Below are 21,564 nucleotides of genomic sequence, written 5' to 3'. Positions count from 1 at the left end.
AGGCCAGCCCACAGATGAGGACGTGGAGTTTTCTTTTGCCTGAAGGGCATTTTCTTTTTAAAAATGATAGACATATCCTAAACATTAATTTAGAGTTTTCAGAGAATGAAATAGGCTTCAGAATTTTTTTTTTAAAGATTAGAATCGGAGAGTTCTTTTACAGGAAATACCACAATTTACAATTTCTTTGGCAAAGTGTGAACTGGGTAGCTCTTTGAACATTAGAGATGGTTAGAGCTGTGAAAGTTTTAAGATATTATCTGGTCCAATTGCTTCTTTTAAGAGAATAGAAAGGTGAGACCCAGAGAGTGTTAAATAACTTGGAGTAAAAGGTAAAAGGGATAGTGTGTAGGCAGGACCAGACTAATATTTTTATTTCTGGTCTTGTAAGTTTCATTGAATCATTCTGTGCAATACTGAATATACACTATGTCATGCAAAATTACAGAACTCTGTGTGTGTGTGTGTGTGTGTGTGTGTGTATGTGTGTGTGAGATAGAGAGACAGAGAGAAAGAGAGAGAGACTAATCAATAAGCCTGTTTGGCTACCATGTAGTGGCTGCCATTTTTTCCTTCTGTTTGGGCTCCCCGATGGGTAGTACTTTTGTGGGACATTCTCTCCTAAAAACACATGGCCACCATTTTCTCTATATACTTCATTGGAGCCCTCAAGGTGCTAATAGTGTCCTGTGAACTGGGGGAAATTACCTCTACACTTCTGCTCCTTTTTGTCTTAAACTCTGTTTGAATGCTCTATGGGTAGACTTTTAACATTTTTTTATAATGTAAAGTTTTTGGTATTAGCTGTCATGGAGCATAAGACTAATTTGATTTCCTCCCACTCTTCTATTACTGTAATTTCCATGGCTCAGTGGCTTCTGGCATCCATACAATGGACAGTTGGCAGGAATTAGAGTGACGTGGGGGACTGCTTGTTGCTTACTGCTTGAGTAACTTTTATTATTTCCAGTGGGTGCAAAAGAAATCAAAGGGCTATAGCTATATATGCATTTTTTTCCTTGGGTAAATTTGGGCCTCTAGGGGAGTCAAGAGTCTTGGCAAGAAATCTATCTTGACTGGCCAGCGATTGATACAAGAGTGGGTTAGGGAAAAAACCTGTGCTATTCTCTTCACTTCTCCTGCCATGTGATCCTGAGCAAGCAACTTAATTCCTTAAAAATGTACTTTTGTCATTTGTGATACAGGAATGATAAGAGTAGCTCCCTCAAAGGTCTGTTTTGGATAAAAAAAGACTGCATTAAGACATCTTGTATCACACTGCCTCAATAAACATTGTTATCAGTGTTCCCTACTATTCCTTTCAGCAGGCAAAAAGACTGGCAAGGATTAGGGGTTGCAGGGAAAATATTTGCAAATAACATACAATAAAAAACTTAAATCCAGAATGTATAGAGAACTCTTACAAAAATAAGAAAACAAATGGCCCAGTTCAAAAATGGGCAAAGATTTAAGTAGACACATCATCGAAGAAGGTATGAAAATGGCAAATAAAGATGCTCATTAATCACTGGGAAATGCAAATTTAAATGCAGTGAGATAGCACTACATACCAAGTAGAAAGGCAATAATCAAAAAGACGTAATATCAAGTGTTGTGAAGGATGTGGAGGAACTTGAACTTTCTTCAGTGCTGGAGGGAATGTAAAATGTGAACTGGAAGGCAATTTGGCAGTTTCTTAAAAGTCAAAAATATAGTTTCCTAGAATCCACCCAAAAGAAATGAAAATATAAGTCCACAAATTCTTGTATGTAAAGATTCATAGCTATATTATTCAAAATAGCCAAATAAGAAGTGTTAAAAAAATCTAAATGTCCCTTAATTCATGAATGGATAAACAAAATGTGATATATCCATTTTGCTGAATTCTACTGAGCAATAAAAAGGAATAAATTATTAATACATGCAGCAACATGGATGAATCTCAAAAACATTATGCAAAGTGAAAGGAGCCAAGCACAAGAACTACATGTGTTAAGATTCCATTTATATGAAATTTCTACAGAAAGCAAAACTATTGCCCAGAAAAGCAGATCAATAGTTATGTAGGTATGGGTATTGTAGTTGGGACTGATGGCAGATGGGCACAGAGAAACTTTCTGTGGTGACAGAAGTGTTGTAAAACTGAACTGTGGTGGTAGATGCACAAGTGTACACATTTATTAAAATTCATTGAACTGTATACAGAAAATGGATACATTTTATAATATGTAAATGGTACCCAAATAAAACTGTTAAAATATATTTGAACAGGGGATACAATGGTCACTGGTTGACTTTTAGCTTCCTAGTATGCCTTTCACTGTTATTTTGGTAATAGCAGTGTAATCTTTTCCTCATTGACGAAAGCCAAGGGAAGGGCGGTTAGTACTCTCTGTTTGGAAGAAGGGAAAATCTTACTTCAAACTTTCTTAAGAAATAAAGAAGAGGATTAAGTTGTTGGCAGTATTTCAAGCCTTCCGTGGGGGAATAAGGGAAGTCCCACTGGCTATGATTGGTCTACCTTGGGTCCTGCGCCTTTCCTTGAACCACCCATGGTTTCTAGGGAAATATGGTTTAAATGACTGGTCAAGAGTAAGTCACGTGCCACTTTTGGCAACTTCACCAGAAACTGACCAACTTTGGGTTTTCTTTCTTTGGAGAGAGGTTGAGTCCTTTGTCAATTTTATTGGCAATACTTACAAAATGTTGGATAGGGACATTTTGGATCTATAATGTAAAGAAGGATGATGTATGAGGATATCAGGAAGCCAAAGGGCTGGACCAGGGTGGACGTTCCTTGTTTTCAGCTGCCTAACATCCATTCCAACTTTTGGTATTGCCAAATTTCTTTTTTCAAGGAATAGCCTCTCTCCATTTTGAAAAATGGGGTGAGGTGGGGCATATGATTGCAGTTAAATTAATCAGATGCTTGTTCCATTAACATGAAACCTGAGTAGATTACAGACAAGACTAAAATTAATTTGAACAAATTCATTCAAGGGAGGGTGTATCCTGGTGACTCCTGGAGCTCCTTTGGATCTGTTGTTCAACATTCCCATCAGTTCACTATTGCAAATATTTCTAACAAATTTACCTAAACAAGACAGACTTAATGAACAAATAACAGGCATTATTAAACTAGCAATTCTTTTGTTAACAATATGAACAAAATAGATAATTGATGAATTTGTATGTTGGGAACTCCACTTTGGTATTTATTTATTTAGAGACGGAATCTCACTCTGTCACCCAGGCTGGAGTGCAGTGGCACGGTCTCGGCTCACTGCAACCTCTGCCTCCTGGGTTCAAGCAATTCTCTGCCTCAGCCTCCCAAGTAGCTGGAATTACAGGCACCCGCCACCACGCCTGGCTAATTTTTTGTATTTTAATAGAGATGGGGTTTCACTATCTTGGCCAGGCTGGTCTTGAACTCCTGACTTTGTGATCCACCCGCCTCGGCCTCTCAAAGTGCTGGGATTACAGGCGTGAGCCACCACACCTGGCCCTGGTTTTTAGTTCTCTACCACATTTGTGTTTGTCATTCATGAGCATATGTGAAAATGTATACCTGCATGAAGATGCATTTATCATAGGTAAGGAGTGTGAATTTCAAGACAGTAAAGGGTGATAGTGAGAGTATCAGCCTGCAGTGTGAACCCTTTATACAATCTATATATTGTGAGGCTAGAAACACGGCTTGGAAGTGTAGTTTTAAAGAATATGATTTCTAGAGATATGGAAGCAGAATAATAATAATAATAATTCGTTCTTTGAAAAATGAAAAGTTAGATATGTGAGTTTTACTTTATTTTTTTTTATTATTATTATACTTCAAGTTTTAGGGTACATGTGTACAATGTGCAGGTTAGTTACATATGTATACATGTGGCATGCTGGTGTGCTGCACCCATTAACTCGTCATTTAGCATTAGGTATATCTCCTAATGCTATCCCTCCCCCCTCCCCCCACCCCGCAACAGTCCTCAGAGTGTGATGTTCCCCTTCCTGTGTCCATGTGTTCTCATTGTTCAATTCCCATCTATGAGTGAGAACATGCGGTGTTTGGTTTTTTGTCATTGCGATAGTTTACTGAGAATGATGATTTCCAATTTCATCCATGTCCCTACAAAGGACATCAACTCATCATTTTTTATGGCTGCATAGTATTCCATGGAGTATATGTGCCACATTTTCTTAATCCGGTCTATCATTGTCGGACATTTGGGTTGCTTCCAAGTCTTTGCTATTGTGAATAGTGCTGCAATAAACATATGTGTGCATGTGTTTTTATAGCAGCATGATTTATAGTCCTTTGGGTGTATACCCAGTAATGGGATGGCTGGGTCAAGTGGTATTTCTAGTTCTAGATCCCTGAGGAATCGCCACACTGACTTCCACAATGGTTGAACTAGTTTACAGTCCCACCAACAGTGTAAAAGTGTTCCTATTTCTGCACATCCTCTCCAGCACCTGTTGTTTCCTGACTTTTTAATGATTGCCATTCTAACTGGTGTGAGATGGTATCTCATTGTGGTTTTGATTTGCATTTCTCTGATGGCCAGTGATGATGAGCATTTTTTCATGTGTCTTTTGGCTGCATAAATGTCTTCTTTTGAGAAGTGTCTGTTCATATCCTTTGCCCACTTTTTGATGGGGTTGTTTGTTTTTTTCTTGTAAATTTGTTTGAGTTCATTGTAGATTCTGGATATTAGCCCTTTGTCAGATGAGTAGGTTGCAAAAATTTTCTCCCATTTTGTAGGTTGCCTGTTCACTCTGATGGTAGTTTCTTTTGCTGTGCAGAAGCTCTTTAGTTTAATTAGATCCCATTTGTCAATTTTGGCTTTTGTTGCCATTGCTTTTGGTGTTTTAGACATGAAGTCCTTGCCCATGCCTATGTCCTGAATGGTATTGCCTAGGTTTTCTTCTAGGGTTTTTATGGTTTTAGGTCTAACATGTAAGTCTTTAATACGTCTTGAATTAATTTTTGTATAAGGTGTAAGGAAGGGATCCAGTTACAGCTTTCTACATATGGCTAGCCAGTTGTCCCAGCACCATTTATTAAATAGGGAATCCTTTGCCCATTGCTTGTTTTTCTCAGGTTTGTCAAAGATCAGATAGTTGTAGATATGCGGCGTTATGTACCAGTCCCATGCTGTTTTGGTTACTGTAGCCTTGTAGTATAGTTTGAAGTCAGGTAGTGTGATGCCTCCAGCTTTGTTCTTTTGGCTTAGGATTGACTTGGAGATGCGGGCTCTTTTTTGGTTCCATATGAACTTTAAAGTAGTTTTTTCCAATTCTGTGAAGAACGTCATTGGTAGCTTGATGGGGATGGCATTGAATCTATAAATTACCTTGGGCAGTATGGCCATTTTCACGATATTGATTCTTCCTACCCATGAGCAGGGAATGTTCTTCCATTTGTTTGTATCCTCTTTTATTTCATTGAGCAGTGGTTTGTAGTTCTCCTTGAAGAGGTCCTTCACATCCCTTGTAAGTTGGATTCCTAGGTATTTTATTCTCTTTGAAGCAATTGTGAATGGGAGTTCACTCATGATTTGGCTCTCTGTCTGTTATTGGTGTATAAGAATGCTTGTGATTTTTGTACATTGATTTTGTATCCTGAGACTTTGCTGAAGTTGCTTATCAGCTTAAGGAGATTTTGGGCTGAGACAATGGGGTTTTCTAGACATACAATCATGTCATCTGCAAACAGGGACAATTTGACTTCCTCTTTTCCTAGTTGAATACCCTTTATTTCCTTCTCCTGCCTAATTGCTGTGGCCAGAATTTCCAACACTATGTTGAATAGGAGTGGTGAGAAAGGGCATCCCTGTCTTGTGCCAGGTTTCAAAGGGAATGCTTCCAGTTTTTGCCCATTCAGTATGATATTGGCTGTGGGTTTGTCATAGATAGCTCTTATTATTTTTAGATACATCACATCAATACCTAATTTATTGAGAGTTTTTAGCATGAAGGTTGTTGAATTTTGTCAAAGGCCTTTTCTGCATCTATTGAGATAATCATGTGGTTTTTGTCTTTGGTTCTGTTTATATGCTGGATTACATTTATTGATTTGCGTATATTGAACCAGCCTTGCATCCCAGGGATGAAGCCCACTTGATCATGGTGGATAAGCTTTTTGATGTGCTGCTGGATTTGGTTTGCCAGTATTTTATTGAGGATTTTTGCATCAATGTTCATCAAGGATATTGGTCTAAAATTCTCTTTTTTGGTTGTGTCTCTGCCCGGCTTTGGTATCAGGATGATGCCGGCCTCATAAAATGAGTTAGGGAGCATTCCTTCTTCTTCTATTGATTGGAATAGTTTCAGAAGGAATGGTACCAGTTCCTCCTTGTACCTCTGGTGGAATTAGGCTGTGAATCCATCTGGTCCTGGACTCTTTTTGGTTGGTAAGCTATTGATTATTGCCACAATTTCAGAGCCTGTTATTGGTCTATTCAGAGATTCAACTTTTTCCTCGTTTAGTCTTGGGAGGATGTATGTGTTGAGGAATTTATCCATTTCTTCTAGATTTTCTAGTTTATTTGCATAGAGGTGTTTGTAGTATTCTCTGATGGTAGTTTGTATTTCTGTGGGATCGGTGGTGATATCCCCTTTATCATTTTTTATTGTGTCTATTTGATTCTTCTCTCTTCTTTATTAGTCTTGCTAGCGGTCTATCAGTTTTTTTGATCCTTTCAAAAAACCAGCTCCTGGATTCATTAATTTTTTGAAGTGTTTTTTTTGTCTCTATTTCCTTCAGTTCTGCTCTGATTTTAGTTATTTCTTGCCTTCTGCTAGCTTTTGAAGGTGTTTGCTCTTGCTTTTCTAGTTCTTTTGATTGTGATGTTAGGGTGTCAATGTTGGATCTTTCCTCCTTTCTCTTGTGGGCATTTAGTGCTATAAATTTCCCTCTACACACTGCTTTGAATGTGGCCCAGAGATTCTGGTATGTTGTGTCTTTGTTCTTGTTGGTTTCAAAGAACATCTTTATTTCTGGCTTCATTTTGTTATGTACCCTGTAGTCATTCAGGAGCAGGTTGTTGAGTTTCCATGTAGTTGAACAGTTTTGAGTGAGTTTCTTAATCCTAAGTTCTAGTTTGATTGCACTGTGGTCTGAGAGACAGTTTGTTATAATTTCTGTTCTTTAACATTTGCTGAGGAGAGCTTTGCTTCCAAGTATGTGGTCAATTTTGGAATAGGTGTGGTGTGGTGCTGAAAAGAATGTATATTCTGTTGATTTGGGGTGGAGAGTTCTGTAGATGTCTATTAGGTCCACTTGGTGCAGAGCTGAGTTCAATTCCTGGGTATCCTTGTGAACTTTCTGTCTCGTTGATCTGTCTAATGTTGACAGTGGGGTGTTAAAGTCTCCCATTATTATTGTGTGGGAATCTAAGTCTCTTTGTAGGTCACTCAGGACTTGCTTTATGAATCTGGGTCCTCCTGTATTGGGTGCATATATATTTAGGACAGTTAGCTCTTCTTGTTGAATTGATCCCTTTACCATTATGTAATGGCCTTCTTTGTCTCTTTTGATCTTTGTTGGTTTAAAGTCTGTTTTATCAGAGACTAGGATTGCAACCCCTGCCTTTTTTTGTTTTCCATTTGCTTGGTAGATCTTCCTCCTTTTATTTTGAGCCTATGTGTGTGTCTGCACGTGAGATGGGTTTCCTGAATACAGCACACTGATGGGTCTTGACTCTTTATCCAATTTGCCAGTCTGTGTCTTTTAATTGGAGCATTTAGTCCATTTACAGTTAAAATTAATATTGTTATGTGTGAATTTGATCCTGTTGTTATGATGTTAGCTGGTTATTTTCCTCGTTAGTTGATGCAGTTTCTTCCTAGTCTCGATGGTCTTTACATTTTGGCATGATTTTGCAGCGGCTGGTACTGGTTGTTCCTTTCCATGTTTAGTGCTTCCTTCAGGAGCTCTTTTAGGGCAGGCCTGGTGGTGACAACATCTCTCAGCATTTGCTTGTCTGTAAAGTATTTTATTTCTCCTTCACTTATGAAGCTTAGTTTGGCTGGATATGAAATTCTGGGTTGAAAATTCTTTTCTTTAAGAACGTTCAATATTGGCCTCCACTCTCTTCTGGCTTGTAGAGTTTCTGCCGAGAGATCTGCTGTTAGTCTGATGGGCTTCCCTTTGTGGGTAACCCGACCTTTCTCTCTGGCTGCCCTTAACATTTTTTCCTTCATTTCAACTTTGGTGAATCTGTTAATTATGTGTCTTGGAGTTGCTCTTCTCGAGGAGTATCTTTGTGGCGTTCTCTGTATTTCCTGAATCTGAATGTTGGCCTGCCTTGCTAGATTGGGGAAGTTCTCCTGGAAATATCCTGCAGAGTGTTTTCCAACTTGGTTCCATTCTCCCTGTCACTTTCAGGTACACCAATCAGACGTAGATTTGGTCTTTTCACATAGTCCCATATTTCTTGGAGGCTTTGTTTCTTTTTATTCTTTTTTCTCTAAACTTCCTTTCTCTCTTCATTTCATTCATTTCATCTTCCATCACTGATACCCTTTCTTCCAGTTGATCGCATCGGCTCCTGAGGCTTCTGCATTCTTCACGTAGTTCTCGAGCCTTGGCTTTCAGCTCCATCAGCTCCTTTAAGCACTTCTCTGTATTGGTTATTCTAGTTACACATTCGTCTAAATTTTTTTCAAAGTTTTCAACTTCTTTGCCTTTGGTTTGAATTTCCTCCTGCAGCTCGAAGTAGTTTGATCATCTGAAGCCTTCTCTCAACTCGTGAAAGTCATTCTCCGTCCAGCTTTGTTCCGTTGCTGGTGAGGAACTGCGTTCCTTTGGAGGAGGAAAGGCGCTCTGCTTTTTAGAGTTTCCAGTTTTTCTGCTCTGTTTTTTCCCCATCTTTGTGGTTTTATCTACTTTTGATCTTTGATGATGGTGATGTACAGATGGGTTTTTGGTGTGGATGTCCTTTGTGTTTGTTAGTTTTCCTTCTAACAGACAGGACCCTCAGCTGCAGGTCTGTTGGAGTTTGCTAGAGGTCCACTCCGGACCCTGTTTGCCTGGGTATCAGCAGTGGTGTCTGCAGAACCGTGGATTTACGTGATCCGCGAATGCTGCTGTCTGATTGTTCCTCTGGAAGTTTTGTCTCAGAGGAGTACCCGGCCGTGTGAGGTGTCAGTCTGCCCCTACTGGGCTGTGCCTCCCAATTAGGCTGCTCGGGGGTCACAGGTCAGGGACCCACTTGAGGAGGCAGTCTGCCGGTTCTCAGATCTCCAGCTGCATGCTGGGAGAACCACTGCTCTCTTTAAAGCTGTCTGACAGGGACATGTAAGTCTGCAGAGGTTACTGCTGTCTTTTTGTTTGTCTGTGCCCTGCCCCCAGAGGTGGAGCCTACAGAGGCAGGCAGGCCTCCTCAAGCTGTGGTGGGCTCCACTCAGTTCGAGCTTCCCTGCTGCTTTGTTTACCTAAGCGAGCCTGGGCAATGGCGGGCGCCCCTCCCCCAGCCTTGCTGCCGCCTTGCAGTTTGATCTCAGACTGCTGTGCTAGCAATCATCGAGACTCCATGGGCGTAGGACTCTGAGCCAGGTGTGGGATATAATCTCCTGGTAGGCAGTTTCCTGAGCCTGTTGGAAAAGCGCAGTATTCGGGTGGGAGTGGCCCGATTTTCCAGGTGCTGTCTGTCACCCCTTTCCTTGACCAGGAAAGGGAACTCCCTGACCCCTTGCGCTTCCCGAGGGAGGCAATGCCTCGCCCTGCTTTGGCTGGTGCACAGTGTGCTGCATCCACTGTCCTGCACCCACTGTCTGGCACTCCCTAGTGAGATGAACCCGGTACCTCAGATGGAAATGCAGAAATCACCTGTCTTCTGAGTCGCTTACGCTGGGAGCTGTAGACCGGAGCTGTTCCTATTCGACCATCTTGGCTCCTCCACCGTGAGTTTTACTTTAAATGGACCTAAAAGAACTCTGTTGATTCAAGCACTATGTTGTTGTTTTTCTTTGATGATAAAGAAAACTATGCAAACAGAATATGCCCGCCCTTGGACTTAAAGCAAAAAACTTGCCTTCTAACAGATCAGTTTGTGACAGCCTCTCAAGTAAGACTAAAACTTGGTTCTGCTTAACAGTAATTGGCAGATTCCTGGGATGTGTTTCCCAGCCATTCATTGTTAAAAGAAACAGACTGTCCTGCTCCATCCTGTTTCATTAGCCAATTAAGATGTCAACCTTTGGGTTGTCAAAATCATTAAACATATTTGGGTAATTATGAGAGGACAGAGAGCATGACTGGCATAGAAGAGAAACGATGGTTCAGAAATTGAACTTAGCTTTCTTCAGACATAACAAAACTTAAAATTAATTAAAATTTTTGTTATTGGTTTTACCATCTATAAAAATTTGGAATATATTTTTAAAAAGGTGATCCTTTTATTTCCCTGTTTCCTTTTTGTTCAAGATGAAAAACAAGCATAAAATGAAAGTGTCCCTGACAATTTCGAAATCTAAGAACAAACTGGAATTTTGTGTATACATGTGCAATATGCAATGCCTAGTTCTCTGTGGTGGGGGAATGGAGATATTTGCTGATTTTCTTCTTACCAGATGTGAGGATCTTGAAGGTGGGCCTGAAGGTGGGCTTGAAGATGGCAGAGCTCAGAGGCTTATGATGGACCACTGCTTTTTATGTTAATAAAATATCATTAATGTATTTTTCATATCGTACTTACTAATTTTAAAGTCATTTCTATTCTGTCATCACTGCTAGGATTATGAACAGTAGATTTGCATTTGGAACTGGAAAGGCCAATGGAATCCTGGAGTTGGAATAGTAATTTCATTTTAAACCACAGTCATTAGTTACCCACGTATTGTTTGAAGATGTCTGTCATATGATTATTTAAGGACATTTAAAAACATATCTGAATAACTTAAATGGAGTTATATGTGTCAGTATCAATAACTTTTAACTACTTTCTTTTCTAGACTAGCATATACCCATTATACATTAAAAATGTGAAATATTTAGGTTTCCTTATTAGAGTGGAGAGGTGAATACTAATTCTCAGATGTGTTTTGTGATAAGGTGGCACTCCTTCTTAAGCATTGCCATCAATCTTAAGCCGGGAAATTCACCTCTAGAAAGCGTCAAATCACTGGCTCCAAATCAAATTCTAGCAAGTATTCCCCATGTAATCAGCTGTCATCCTCAGTGACAAGGAGGAGACAGTGCTCTGCTTTCACTTTATTCCTACTTGAGAGCCCCAGCTTGAGAGTCTGGATAAGGCTCAAGGACGGAATGGGGAGTCTGTCTTCTATAAATAAAGAGAATAAAATTGCTGCTTTTTTCCTCTCCTTCCTCACCGCTACCTTGTCTGTCCCCCAGCGCATTCTTATTTCTCCCCAATGTCAATGAAGTTTGGTAGAAAGTTGTCTCTCATCTTAGTGTGCTATCTTACTTCGCTCAGCCTTATTTTCATCCTCTCTTCATTCATTGACTTATCCAGGAGCTTCATCTCTTTACAGAAAGGAGTGGGTACACGGGCAGTTCTCTTGGGAATTCTGATTCATTCACCATCTTGAACCACCTTTCTGTTGGGTTGTTGGATGTGACCATAGATGCTGGTCACATGCTTCTTAGCTCCCCATGTAATGAAACTTAACACAGGGCCAAGCAGATTTCCCAGACAAGGCTTTTATTTTGGGGCTTGTGCTCAAGGGCAAGGGAGACAGTGGAGGTGAGGTATGAGGATCCTCAAGCTGGCTCCCCAAAAAGCTAGTAGAGACTTTTTAATCAGACAAAGCATGGGGAATTGACACAGGGGTAAGGTATGCAGGCTGGGCTGGGAGAAGCATGTGGGGGTTAGGGTATGCAGGTCCATATGTCTGGTCCCGATGGTTATCTTGAGTAATGGGCCACCTGGTGGTCTGGCCAGCGGCAAAAAGGCTGCTTACAAATCATTCTTTCCCAAGGTTTGACATTCTGCACTTTGGTTTGATATTTAGGTTTCCTAAGGCCAGTTCCTGGAATTCTTTAAGTAAAAGGCATAGGTAAACATTATGAGAGCACAGGAGAGTGGCTATTTTCTTTATATGACTAAAGCCTTAGGGTTAGCATGTGTAACGTCAGCGAGGTGGTGATGTGGATTTTGTGATCAGCAGGAATGTATGAAAGAATGTTCCACCAGCGGGGGTGGTGGGGTGGGGAGCTGAAGCCAAGCCCTGACCTTACTCTGTCTCATGCCCTTTCTATACTTGGTATATTTGTATATTTGCTGTCTGTTTTTTTTTTTTTTTTTTGAAAGCGGCTACTCTCAATTCCCTAGATTGACTATGTTCTCTTTTTTTTTTGTTTTTTTTTTTTTGAGTCAGAGTCTTGCTGTGTCGCCCAGGCTGGAGTGCAGTGGCACGATTTCAGCTCACTGCAACCTCCACCTCCTGGGTTCAAGCAATTCTCCTGCCTCAGCCTCCTGAGTAGCTGGGATTACAGGCTTGCATCACCACACCCAGCTAATTTTTTTTTATTTTATATTTTTGGTAGAGACGGGGTTTCACGATGTTGGCCAGGCTGGTCTCGAACTCCTGATCTCAAGTGATCCTCCCGCCTTGGCCTCTGAAACAGAGAAATACATAACCATAATTTATGGGTAGTGTATTATAAACCAAAAAGTATCTGAGACAGATCTTAATCAATTTACTTACGTTTTTGAGACAGGTTCTTGCTCTGCCACTCAGTCTGGAGTGCAGCGGTACAATCTCAGTTTACTGCAACCTCTGCTTCCTGGGCTTAAGTGATTCTCCCACCTCAGCCTCCCGAGTAGCTGGGACTACAGGTGTGCGCCACCACATGTTCTCAGATAATTTTTCAATTTTTTGTAGAGAAGAGGTCTCCCTATATTGCCTAGGCTTGTCTCAAACTCCTGGGCTCATGCAGTTCTCCTGCATCAGCCTTCCAAAGGGCTGGAATTACAGGCATGGAATTACACCATGCCTGGCCTTCATTCACTTTAAAGGTTTATTTTGCCAGGGCTAAGGACTGGCTGTGACACAGCCTTTGGAGGTCCTGAGAACATGTGCCCAAGGTGGTCAGGATATACCTTGTTTTTTATACATTTTCAGGAGACGTAAGACATCAATCAATGTATGTAAAATGTACATTGGGTTTTGTGGAAAGGCAAGACAACTTGAGTTGGGGGCTTCCAGGTCACAGGTGGATCCAAAGATTTTCTGATTGGCAATTGGTTGAAAAAATTTATCTAAAGACCTGAAGTCAATAAAAGGGAGTGTCTGGGTTAGGATAAGGAGTTGCGGAGTCAAAGTTTCTTTTTTTTTTTGAGACGGAGTCTCACTCTGTCACCCAGGCTGGAGTGCAGTGGTGTGATCTTGACCCACTGCAACCTCTGCCTCTTGATTTCAAGTGATTCTCCTGCCTCAGCCTCCTGAGCAGCTGGGATTACAGGCGCCTGCCACCATGCCCAGCTAATTTTTTTTATTTTTAGTAGAGACAGGGTTTCACCGTGTTGGGCAGGCTGGTCTCGAACTCCTGACCTCAGGTGATCCATCCACCTTGGCCTCCCAAAGTACTGGGATTACAGGCGTGAGCCACCGCGCCTGGCCTAATTTCTCCATTTCTTTATGGAACATTATACATCTGATTTAACATAACGATGTGATAATTTTAATTATCTATTTCCTTTTTCTCTTTTGGCACCTGTCATTCTATCCTCATAACAACCTTGTTCCAATTCTTTTAAAATTCCCCACCTTCCCTTAGTATGTGTTGACTTCATTTTTGGAATAAAGTTTGTCTAAAGCTGCTTTAACTTGTTTAACTTTTGTGGGAGTCTGGCACTGAGTTTAACAAGTACATTTGGAGGAACCTTTTGGATGTCATTTTAGGAGTGTTGGGAAGAGCTTATTCTTCCTGTGCACCCTCTCATTCCAACCCATTTCTCTCTGATTTGATTGTTAATATTTGCAATTTTATCCTTTGAATTTGCTTCCTCTGATATTAAAATACAGACACTCCTGCGAACAATCAGTTACTCACGCTTGATTGTGAATGAGGCTCAGAGGGTGGGATTTGATAAGGGGGTAGGGATAAGAGCAAGAGAGTTCTGGAAGCTGGTACAGGTGTTGTTGTCAGGCTATTTATGGAAAGACTGCTAAATACATAGTCTGGTCTGCTACTCACTACCTGTAAACTTGTTGGAGTCACTTAACACTCTTGAACCTCAAGTATCACATATGAAATATGGGATAATCATGCTTGCCTGGTTTACCTAACAGGATTATTTGAAGGCCCAAATGAGAATATATGTGCAGCAAAAAGTTTGTAAACTCTGATGTGCTATGCAAAGTAAAGATACCAAAGGGCTTGAAGAAAGGGAAAAAGAAATGTGGCCAAGGCAATGTCTACTTACGTTATAACTAAGGTGGATTCTGGTGCCACTCTATGATCATACTCAGAATTATGACAGTTCAGATGACCAGGAGTCATATGTCACCTTCTATATATCGTTGCATTAAAGTAAGCCACTTCCAGCCCGGCCAACACAGTGAGATCGCATCTCTACAAAAAAATAAGAAAAACCTAACTGGGCATAGTGGCACTTGCCTGTGGTCCCAGCTACTTGGGAGGCTGAGATGGGAGGATTGCTTGAGCCGGGGAGGTTGAGGCTACAGTGAGCCTTGATCCTGATTGCGCCACTGCACTCCAGCCTGGGCAAAAGAGTGAGACCATGTCTCAAAAAAGGAAGCCACTTTTCTTTTCTCTTTACTTTTCTTCTCCAGGAGAATCCATGCCAGCCTAGCTGCTGTCCCTGAGTGGCAGCATAGGGAGCTGTAGGGGCAGGGCCTCTGCCCCTTCCTAGGGAAGATAGGAGAGGATGGCTACCTATGTACAGCTGATCCTTTGCCTTCAAGGTTTACCTTTGTCTGAAACCTTCTCTCTTTTTTGAACAGGGTCTCTGTTGCTCAGGCTGGAGTGCAGTGCCTTGATTACAGTTCACTGCAGCCACGATCTCCTGGGCTCAAGTGATTCTCCCACCTTAGCCTCCTGAGTAGCTGGTACTACAGGTGTGCACCACGATGGCTGGCTATTTTATTTTTTTACTTTTAGTAGAGATGAGATAGCAGTATGTTGGGCTCCAACTCTTGAGCTCAAGTGATCCTCCTGTCTTGGCCTCCCAGTGTTGGGATTATCAACCTGAGCCACTGTACCCAGCCTGAAACATACCCTTCAGCAGGAGAAAATTATGTAGCTCTGTGGGGAACAGCTATTCTCTAGGAATAGGCTTCTTCAAGATCAGAATTGTTAAAGTAGTGTAGCAAAAGGAAAGATATTTCAGAGAATGTCCTAATAGCTCAGATGAGGATGCCATCATTTAAATATGACCAGACTCTACATGTATTAGTTGTTCTTTCTTTTGTTCAAGAAGGACATTAAGCACCAATAAATAAATAAATTCCTGCTATCACATGTCCAGGATAACCAAATGGAGCTGTACATGTGTAATAGGCAGGAAAATGGACCCCAAAGATGTATATACCTTAATTTTTGGAACCTGTGAAAATTCTTTGCAAATGTAATTAGAATAGGGAAATTATACTGGATTATCCATGTGGGCCCAATCTAATCACATGAGTGGTTAAAAGCAGAGATTTTCTGTGGCCAGAGGCAGCAGAGAGATGCAGCAGAAAAAGAAGTCAGAGAGACTATAAGTAGGAGAAGAATTTGACATGTCATTGCTGGCTCTGAGATACAAGAGGCCATTAGCAAGGAAGAGATACAGACCTTTCAGAGCTGAAGGGTGGTCCCTAGCTGATACCCAACACAGAAATAAGGAGCTACAATCCCAAGGAAATGAATTCTGCCAGTAACCTGAGTGGGCCTAGAAAGAGTCTTTCCACAGCCTCTTGATAAGAGTCCAGAGGGCTGACACCTTGATTTTGGCTTTGTGATACTGTGTCCGGAATTGGTGGGTTCTTGGTCTCACTGACTTCAAGAACAAAGCCATGGACCCTTGCCGTGAGTTTTACAGTTCTTAAAGGTGGCGTGTCTGGAGTTTGTTCCTTCTGATGTTCGGATGTGTTTGGAGTTTCTTCCTTCTGGTGGGTTTGTGGTCTCGCTGGCTCAGGAGTGAAGCTGCAGACCTTCGCGGTGAGTGTTGCAGCTCTTAAAGCAGCGCGTCTGGAGTTGTTCGTTCCTCCTGGTGGGGGTCGTGGTCTCGCTGGCTTCAGGAGTGAAGCTGCAGACCTTCGCGGTAAGTGTTACAGCTCATAAAGGCAGTGTGGACCCAAAGAGTGAGCAGTAGCAAGATTTATTGCAATGAACAAAGCTTCCACAGTGTGGAAGTGGAAGGGGACCCCAGCCGGTTGTCACTGCTGGCTCTGGCAGCCTGTTTTTATTCTCTTATCTGGCCCCACCCACATCCTGCTGATTGGTCCATTTTACAGAGAGCCGATTGGTCTGTTTTAGAGCTGATTGGTCCGTTTTGACAGGGTGCTGATTGGTGCATTTACAAACCTTGAGTTAGACAGGAAAGTTCTCCACCTCCCCACTAGATTAGCTAGATACAGAGTGTCCATTGGTATATTTACAAACCCTGAGCTAGACACAGAGTGCTGATTGGTGCATTTACAAACCTTGAGCTAGATACAGAGTGCCGATTGGTGCATTCACAATCCCTTAGCTAGACATAAAGATTCTCCAGGTCCCCAGCAGATTAGCTAGTCACAGAGGGCTGATTGGTGCATCCACAAACCCTGAGCTAGACACAGAGTGCTGATTGGTGTATTTACAATCCCTCAGCTAGATATAAAGGTCTCCAAGTCCCCACTAGACTCAGGAGCTCAGCTGGCTTCACCCAGTGGATCTCGCACCAGGCCGCAGGTGGAGCTGCCTGCCAGTCCCCTGCCCTGCACCTGCACTCCTCAGCCCTTGGGCGGTTGATGGGACTGGGCGCCTTGGAGCAGGGAGTGGCGCTGGTTGGGGAGGCTCGGGCTGCACAGGAGCCCACAGGAGGAGGGGAGGCTCAGGCATGGCAGGCTGCAGGTCTGGAGCCCTGCAGGGCGGCAGCTAAGGCCCAGCAAGAAGTCGAGCACAGCAGCTGCTGGCCCAGGTGCTAAGCCCGTCGCTACCGGGGCTTGTAGGCAGGCCGGCGGCTCCGAGTGCTGGGCTGCCGAGTCCACGCCCACCCGGAACTCGCGCTGGCCTGCAAGCGCCCCGCGCAGCCCCAGTTGCCGCCCCCGCCTCTCCTTCCACACCTCCCCGCAAGCTGAGGGAGCTGGCTCCGGCCTTGGCCAGCCTGAAAGGGGCTCCCATAGTGCAGCGGTGGGCTGAAGGGCTCCTCAAGCGCAGCCAGAGTGGGCGCCAAGGCCCAGGAGGCACGGAGAGCGAGCGAGGGCTGCCAGGGCTGCCAGCATGCTGTCACCTCTCAATATTAGGAGCAGAGAAGCCAGCTCAGCCAACCTGGCATTCTGATCTATAGAAACTGAGAGGTAAGACATTTTTGTTGTTTCATGCCACTAAGTTTGTGGTAAGCTGTTATGATGGGCAGTAGAAAATATGGCTGGGCGTGGTGGCTCACGCCTGTAATCCCAGCACTTTGGGAGGCCAAGGTGGGCAGATCACCTGAGGTCGGGAGTTCGAAACCAGCCTGACCAACACGGAGAAACCCCGTCTCTACTAAAAATACAAAATTAGCTGGGTGTGGTGGCACATGCCTGTGATCCCAGCTACTGGGGAGGCTGAGGCAGGAGAGTCGCTTAAACCCAGGGGGCGGAGGTTTCGATGAGCTGAGATCATGCCATTGCACTCCCGCCTGGGCAACAAGAGCGAAACTCCATCTCAAAGAAAAAAAAAAAAAAGAAAATTAACACACTATGTGAGAGGCGGCTGGACAGCAAATAGCTGTTTCGAAGAACCACCTTTATAATTTTCCATTTAGCCTCTATATTTGAATATTTTTTTCTGATAACATTATGTGAACATGTAGTAACATGACTCTTTAAATCAGCAGGGACCTCAGTTTCATTTACTTTAGACCAGGGCATGACTGCCTTTATTTTTTATTCCCCTGATGCTCCTCAAGGTGAATTTTGTGCACAGCTCTTTGTCTCTATATATAACTTAAAAAAACCCCAAAATATTACATACGTTCAGTATATGTGCTATTATTAAGTATATAGCTTGATGAAGTTTTCATGTGTAAATACCTGAGAACCACCACCCAGATTGAGATATAGAATATTTTCATCACTTTAGTGGATGCTCCTGCAAGCTTAATGCCTGTTTCTAGTCAATACTTGCCGCATTCAGAGTCATCCACTCTTCTGACTTACACCATCATTGATTAGTCGTGTCTGTTGTTGAAATTCATGTAAATGGAATCATGCAGTGTGCACTTTTATGTCTGGCTTCCTTCACTCAACACACTGTTCTTGAAATTCACTCATGGTGTATAAACAGCTCATTCCTTTTAAAGCACTGTATAGCATTCTATTGTATGCCTAAACCTATATTTGTTTATTCAGTCTCTCACTGATGGTTATTTGGGTTGTTTCCAGTCTTGAACCTTAATGAGTACAGCTGCCGTGTGCTTTCTTGTACATGTCTTTTGGTGGACACGTATACACATTTCTCATGGGTACATCCTTATGAGTGGAATCTCTGGGTCTGCTCATAGGGTAGATTAATCTATATTTTAAGTCAGATTATTCCAAACACGTAATTCAAAATTGGTGAATTATGTTTAGCCATTTTTATGTTATATATTATTATTATTGTTAAAAAAAGTTTTTGGAACACTTCATCAGTTTGCGTGTCATCCTTGCTCAGGGGCCATGCTAATCTTCTCTGTATTGTTCCAATTTTAGTATATATGTTGCCAAAGGGAGCACTTCATATGATATATTATTGATAGAAATAATTAAAAAAAATTTTTTTTGAGACAGAGTCTCACTCTGTTGCCCAGGCTGGAGTTCAGTGGTGTGATCTCGGCTCACCACAACTTCCGCCCCGTGGGTTCAAGCGATTCTCTTGTCTCAGCCCCCGAGTAGCTGGGATTACACAGGTGTGCTAATTTTTTGTATTTTTAGTAGAGATGGGGTTTCGTCATGTTGGCCAGGCTGGTCTCAACCTCCTGACTCAGGTGATCCTCCCGCCTTGGCCTCCGAAAGTGCTGGGATTATGGGCGTGAGCCACCACACCCAGCTGAAATAATTTTATTTATACAAATAAGCTAAGAAACTATAAACCTATAGATATCATAATATAGGTATGTTGTCTGCATGTAAGTGGAGCTCTATTCTTTTGAAAAAGAGCACCCAGTCAGAAAAGCCATTTATGATTTAAAACAAGGCAGCTATAGGAAAGTTTGATTTCTCAGAACTTAAAAAGCCATACTAAAGGTGATCCTGCGTTTCCCTGTGTTATATTTAGCTACTCAACGTAGTAAAGACCATACTTCCCGTTTCATGACCTTTCTTTATCACTGGATGTCGTTCTCAGCATGAGGAGGCACAGCATGAGCATTCATGATTACACCAAAGCAGCGACTTTCCCTTCCTTATCTCTGAGTACCCAGGAACCCAAAACTCTGTTTGCGAAGAGGCTTATAAGTGCCCTGGCCATTGAAAAAGAGGGGTTGCTTCTACATTGAGCAGTTCGAATGGGCCTCTGAAAAGTCTTGCAGCACAATTGACAGGCAACACATGGGCGGCTGATGGCCACACTGTAGTTACAAGATGGCAGTCAGTGTGGTTCTCCATCATCCAGGTGATGCGAGGTGCTCCCTCACTTGTTCTTCTCCAGGCCTTGGCCTGGCTCCCAAGCACTGGCCATCCCCCCAGTATTCTTTGGGCTCTCAGTATTAGTTCTGCAACTTCTCATGGGACCCACCAGGACCAGACCATTTTCTCTTGCCCCACACCTCTCACCTTCTCTATTTTCTTTATAATTCTTCTGTTATCATAGATACTATGGGTGTTAATTCCCTTAAACCTTCCCTTTTGATTATTTGACAACATTCAGGAGTCAAAAGTAAACATTGCTTTTCCTTCTCAAGGCAGTGTGGGTGACTCTGTTGACTCGGGGAACAGTGTGTGAAGGGGAAGAAAACATACATATTGTTATTTCAATTATGGCATGTATTAGGATTCTCCAGAGACATTGAATCAATAGCATGTGTATACATTATATAAGAATTGGTGCATACAATTAATGGAGGCTGGCAAGTCCAAAATCTTCAGTGTGGGCCAGAAGACTTTAGACCCAGAAGAGCTGATGGTGCATTTCCATCCCAAGACAGTCTGCTAGAATTTCTTTCTTGAGGGGGTGGCCAATCATTTCGTTCTTCTTAGGCTTTCAACTGATTGAATGAGGCCCACTCACATTACAGAAGGCAATCTGCTTTACTCAAAGTTTACTGATTTAAATGTTAATCTCATCCAAAAATACCCTCCAAATTGACACATACAATTAACCATCACACGTCATTACACTCATGATCTCCAGGAGCACACCATGGCTAAATTGGCATCTATCTAGTGCAAGATTTCTCATTTTATGGGAAAGACAATGCATTGTGGATTAAGATGATGTAGATTTGAATCCCAGTGATCTTGGAATTTGAATCTCAGTTGTGTCATTTGGAAAAACCTTTAACTTCAGTCATCACAGAGCTGCAGTTCTCAACTGGGGCAATTTGTCCTTCCGCCTATGTCCCCAGAAGACATTTGATAACATCTGAAAACATTTTTGGTTGTTACAACCAGGGTGAGGGTGGGAGGAGTTGTTAATGTCATCTCTGGTGGGCACAACTCAGGGATACTAACCATCCTATGATGCACACAACAGCCCCCCACAACAAACAATCACCAGGCCCCAAATATCCGTAGTGTTGAGGTTGTGAAACCTTGCACTAGAGGTAAACAGACAATGCTAGGATATCAAAAACTAGACATGAGTGGAACATGGGAGGGTTGTCAGGCAAGAAAACCGATAAAATGGTGCTCAAATTTAAAAAGCAAATGTGTGAACACCTGATCTTATAGTTTTTGCCAGTTTCTAAATAGAATAGTGGGAAGGTGATATTTTAAGTTGGGAAATGCATTATTGGAGGCTACGCTATGATTTGGGGAAAAGAGAGCGGACCTCAGGTTAGCAGGAACATAAACGTGTTAGTATTTTACTGAATTTCCCCCTTGTGTCATTGGCTCACAGGATTTCACAAAGGTTTGAAGGTCTGGGATGGAATGGTGAAGGTGACATCACTGTGAGCAAGTGTGGGTCAAATGAGGGGGATGAACTGTGGCTAAGAAACTTAAGAGAATATTTTTGTAAGAAGATGTAAAAGGATAAATACAATATGACTTACCAAATGCCTTTAAGTAATAGATTACTATTTTGTTAGCTCATACTTTATTCTGGCAGTCTGTTTACCCATATGCACAGTCTCCTGAATGTGATTTAAATGTTAAGTCCTAATTACAAAACTCTAATTCAAAACAATTTTAAGTAAGGCTGTTGAAAATTAATGTGAATGCAAATCATGAAGTCACTCTCATTAGGGAAATACGCATTAATTTTAATTT

General features: G+C 42.1%; 1 pseudogene, besides 3 other annotated features; it reads right to left on the bottom strand.

The window, feature by feature from the left end:
- Window positions 8,956-9,455: an enhancer, noted in NCBI's record as "NANOG-H3K4me1 hESC enhancer chr2:196388175-196388674 (GRCh37/hg19 assembly coordinates)". NCBI's record gives its function as "activates a minimal SCP1, AML or CMV promoter by ChIP-STARR-seq in naive and primed H9 embryonic stem cells {active_cell/tissue: H9 hESC(naive and primed)}" and the evidence as "EXISTENCE:reporter gene assay evidence [ECO:0000049][PMID:30033119]".
- Window positions 9,456-9,957: an enhancer, noted in NCBI's record as "NANOG-H3K4me1 hESC enhancer chr2:196387673-196388174 (GRCh37/hg19 assembly coordinates)". NCBI's record gives its function as "activates a minimal SCP1, AML or CMV promoter by ChIP-STARR-seq in primed H9 embryonic stem cells {active_cell/tissue: H9 hESC(primed)}" and the evidence as "EXISTENCE:reporter gene assay evidence [ECO:0000049][PMID:30033119]".
- Window positions 17,014-17,514: an enhancer, noted in NCBI's record as "H3K27ac-H3K4me1 hESC enhancer chr2:196380116-196380616 (GRCh37/hg19 assembly coordinates)". NCBI's record gives its function as "activates a minimal SCP1, AML or CMV promoter by ChIP-STARR-seq in naive H9 embryonic stem cells {active_cell/tissue: H9 hESC(naive)}" and the evidence as "EXISTENCE:reporter gene assay evidence [ECO:0000049][PMID:30033119]".
- Window positions 18,764-18,870, bottom strand: RNU6-169P (RNA, U6 small nuclear 169, pseudogene; annotated as a pseudogene).

Source organism: Homo sapiens, chromosome 2 (genome assembly GCF_000001405.40).
Source record: "Homo sapiens chromosome 2, GRCh38.p14 Primary Assembly".
Taxonomy (NCBI): Eukaryota; Metazoa; Chordata; class Mammalia; order Primates; family Hominidae; genus Homo; species Homo sapiens.
Note: the sequence above shows the minus strand (reverse complement) of the source record. Positions and strands in the feature narration are given on the sequence as shown.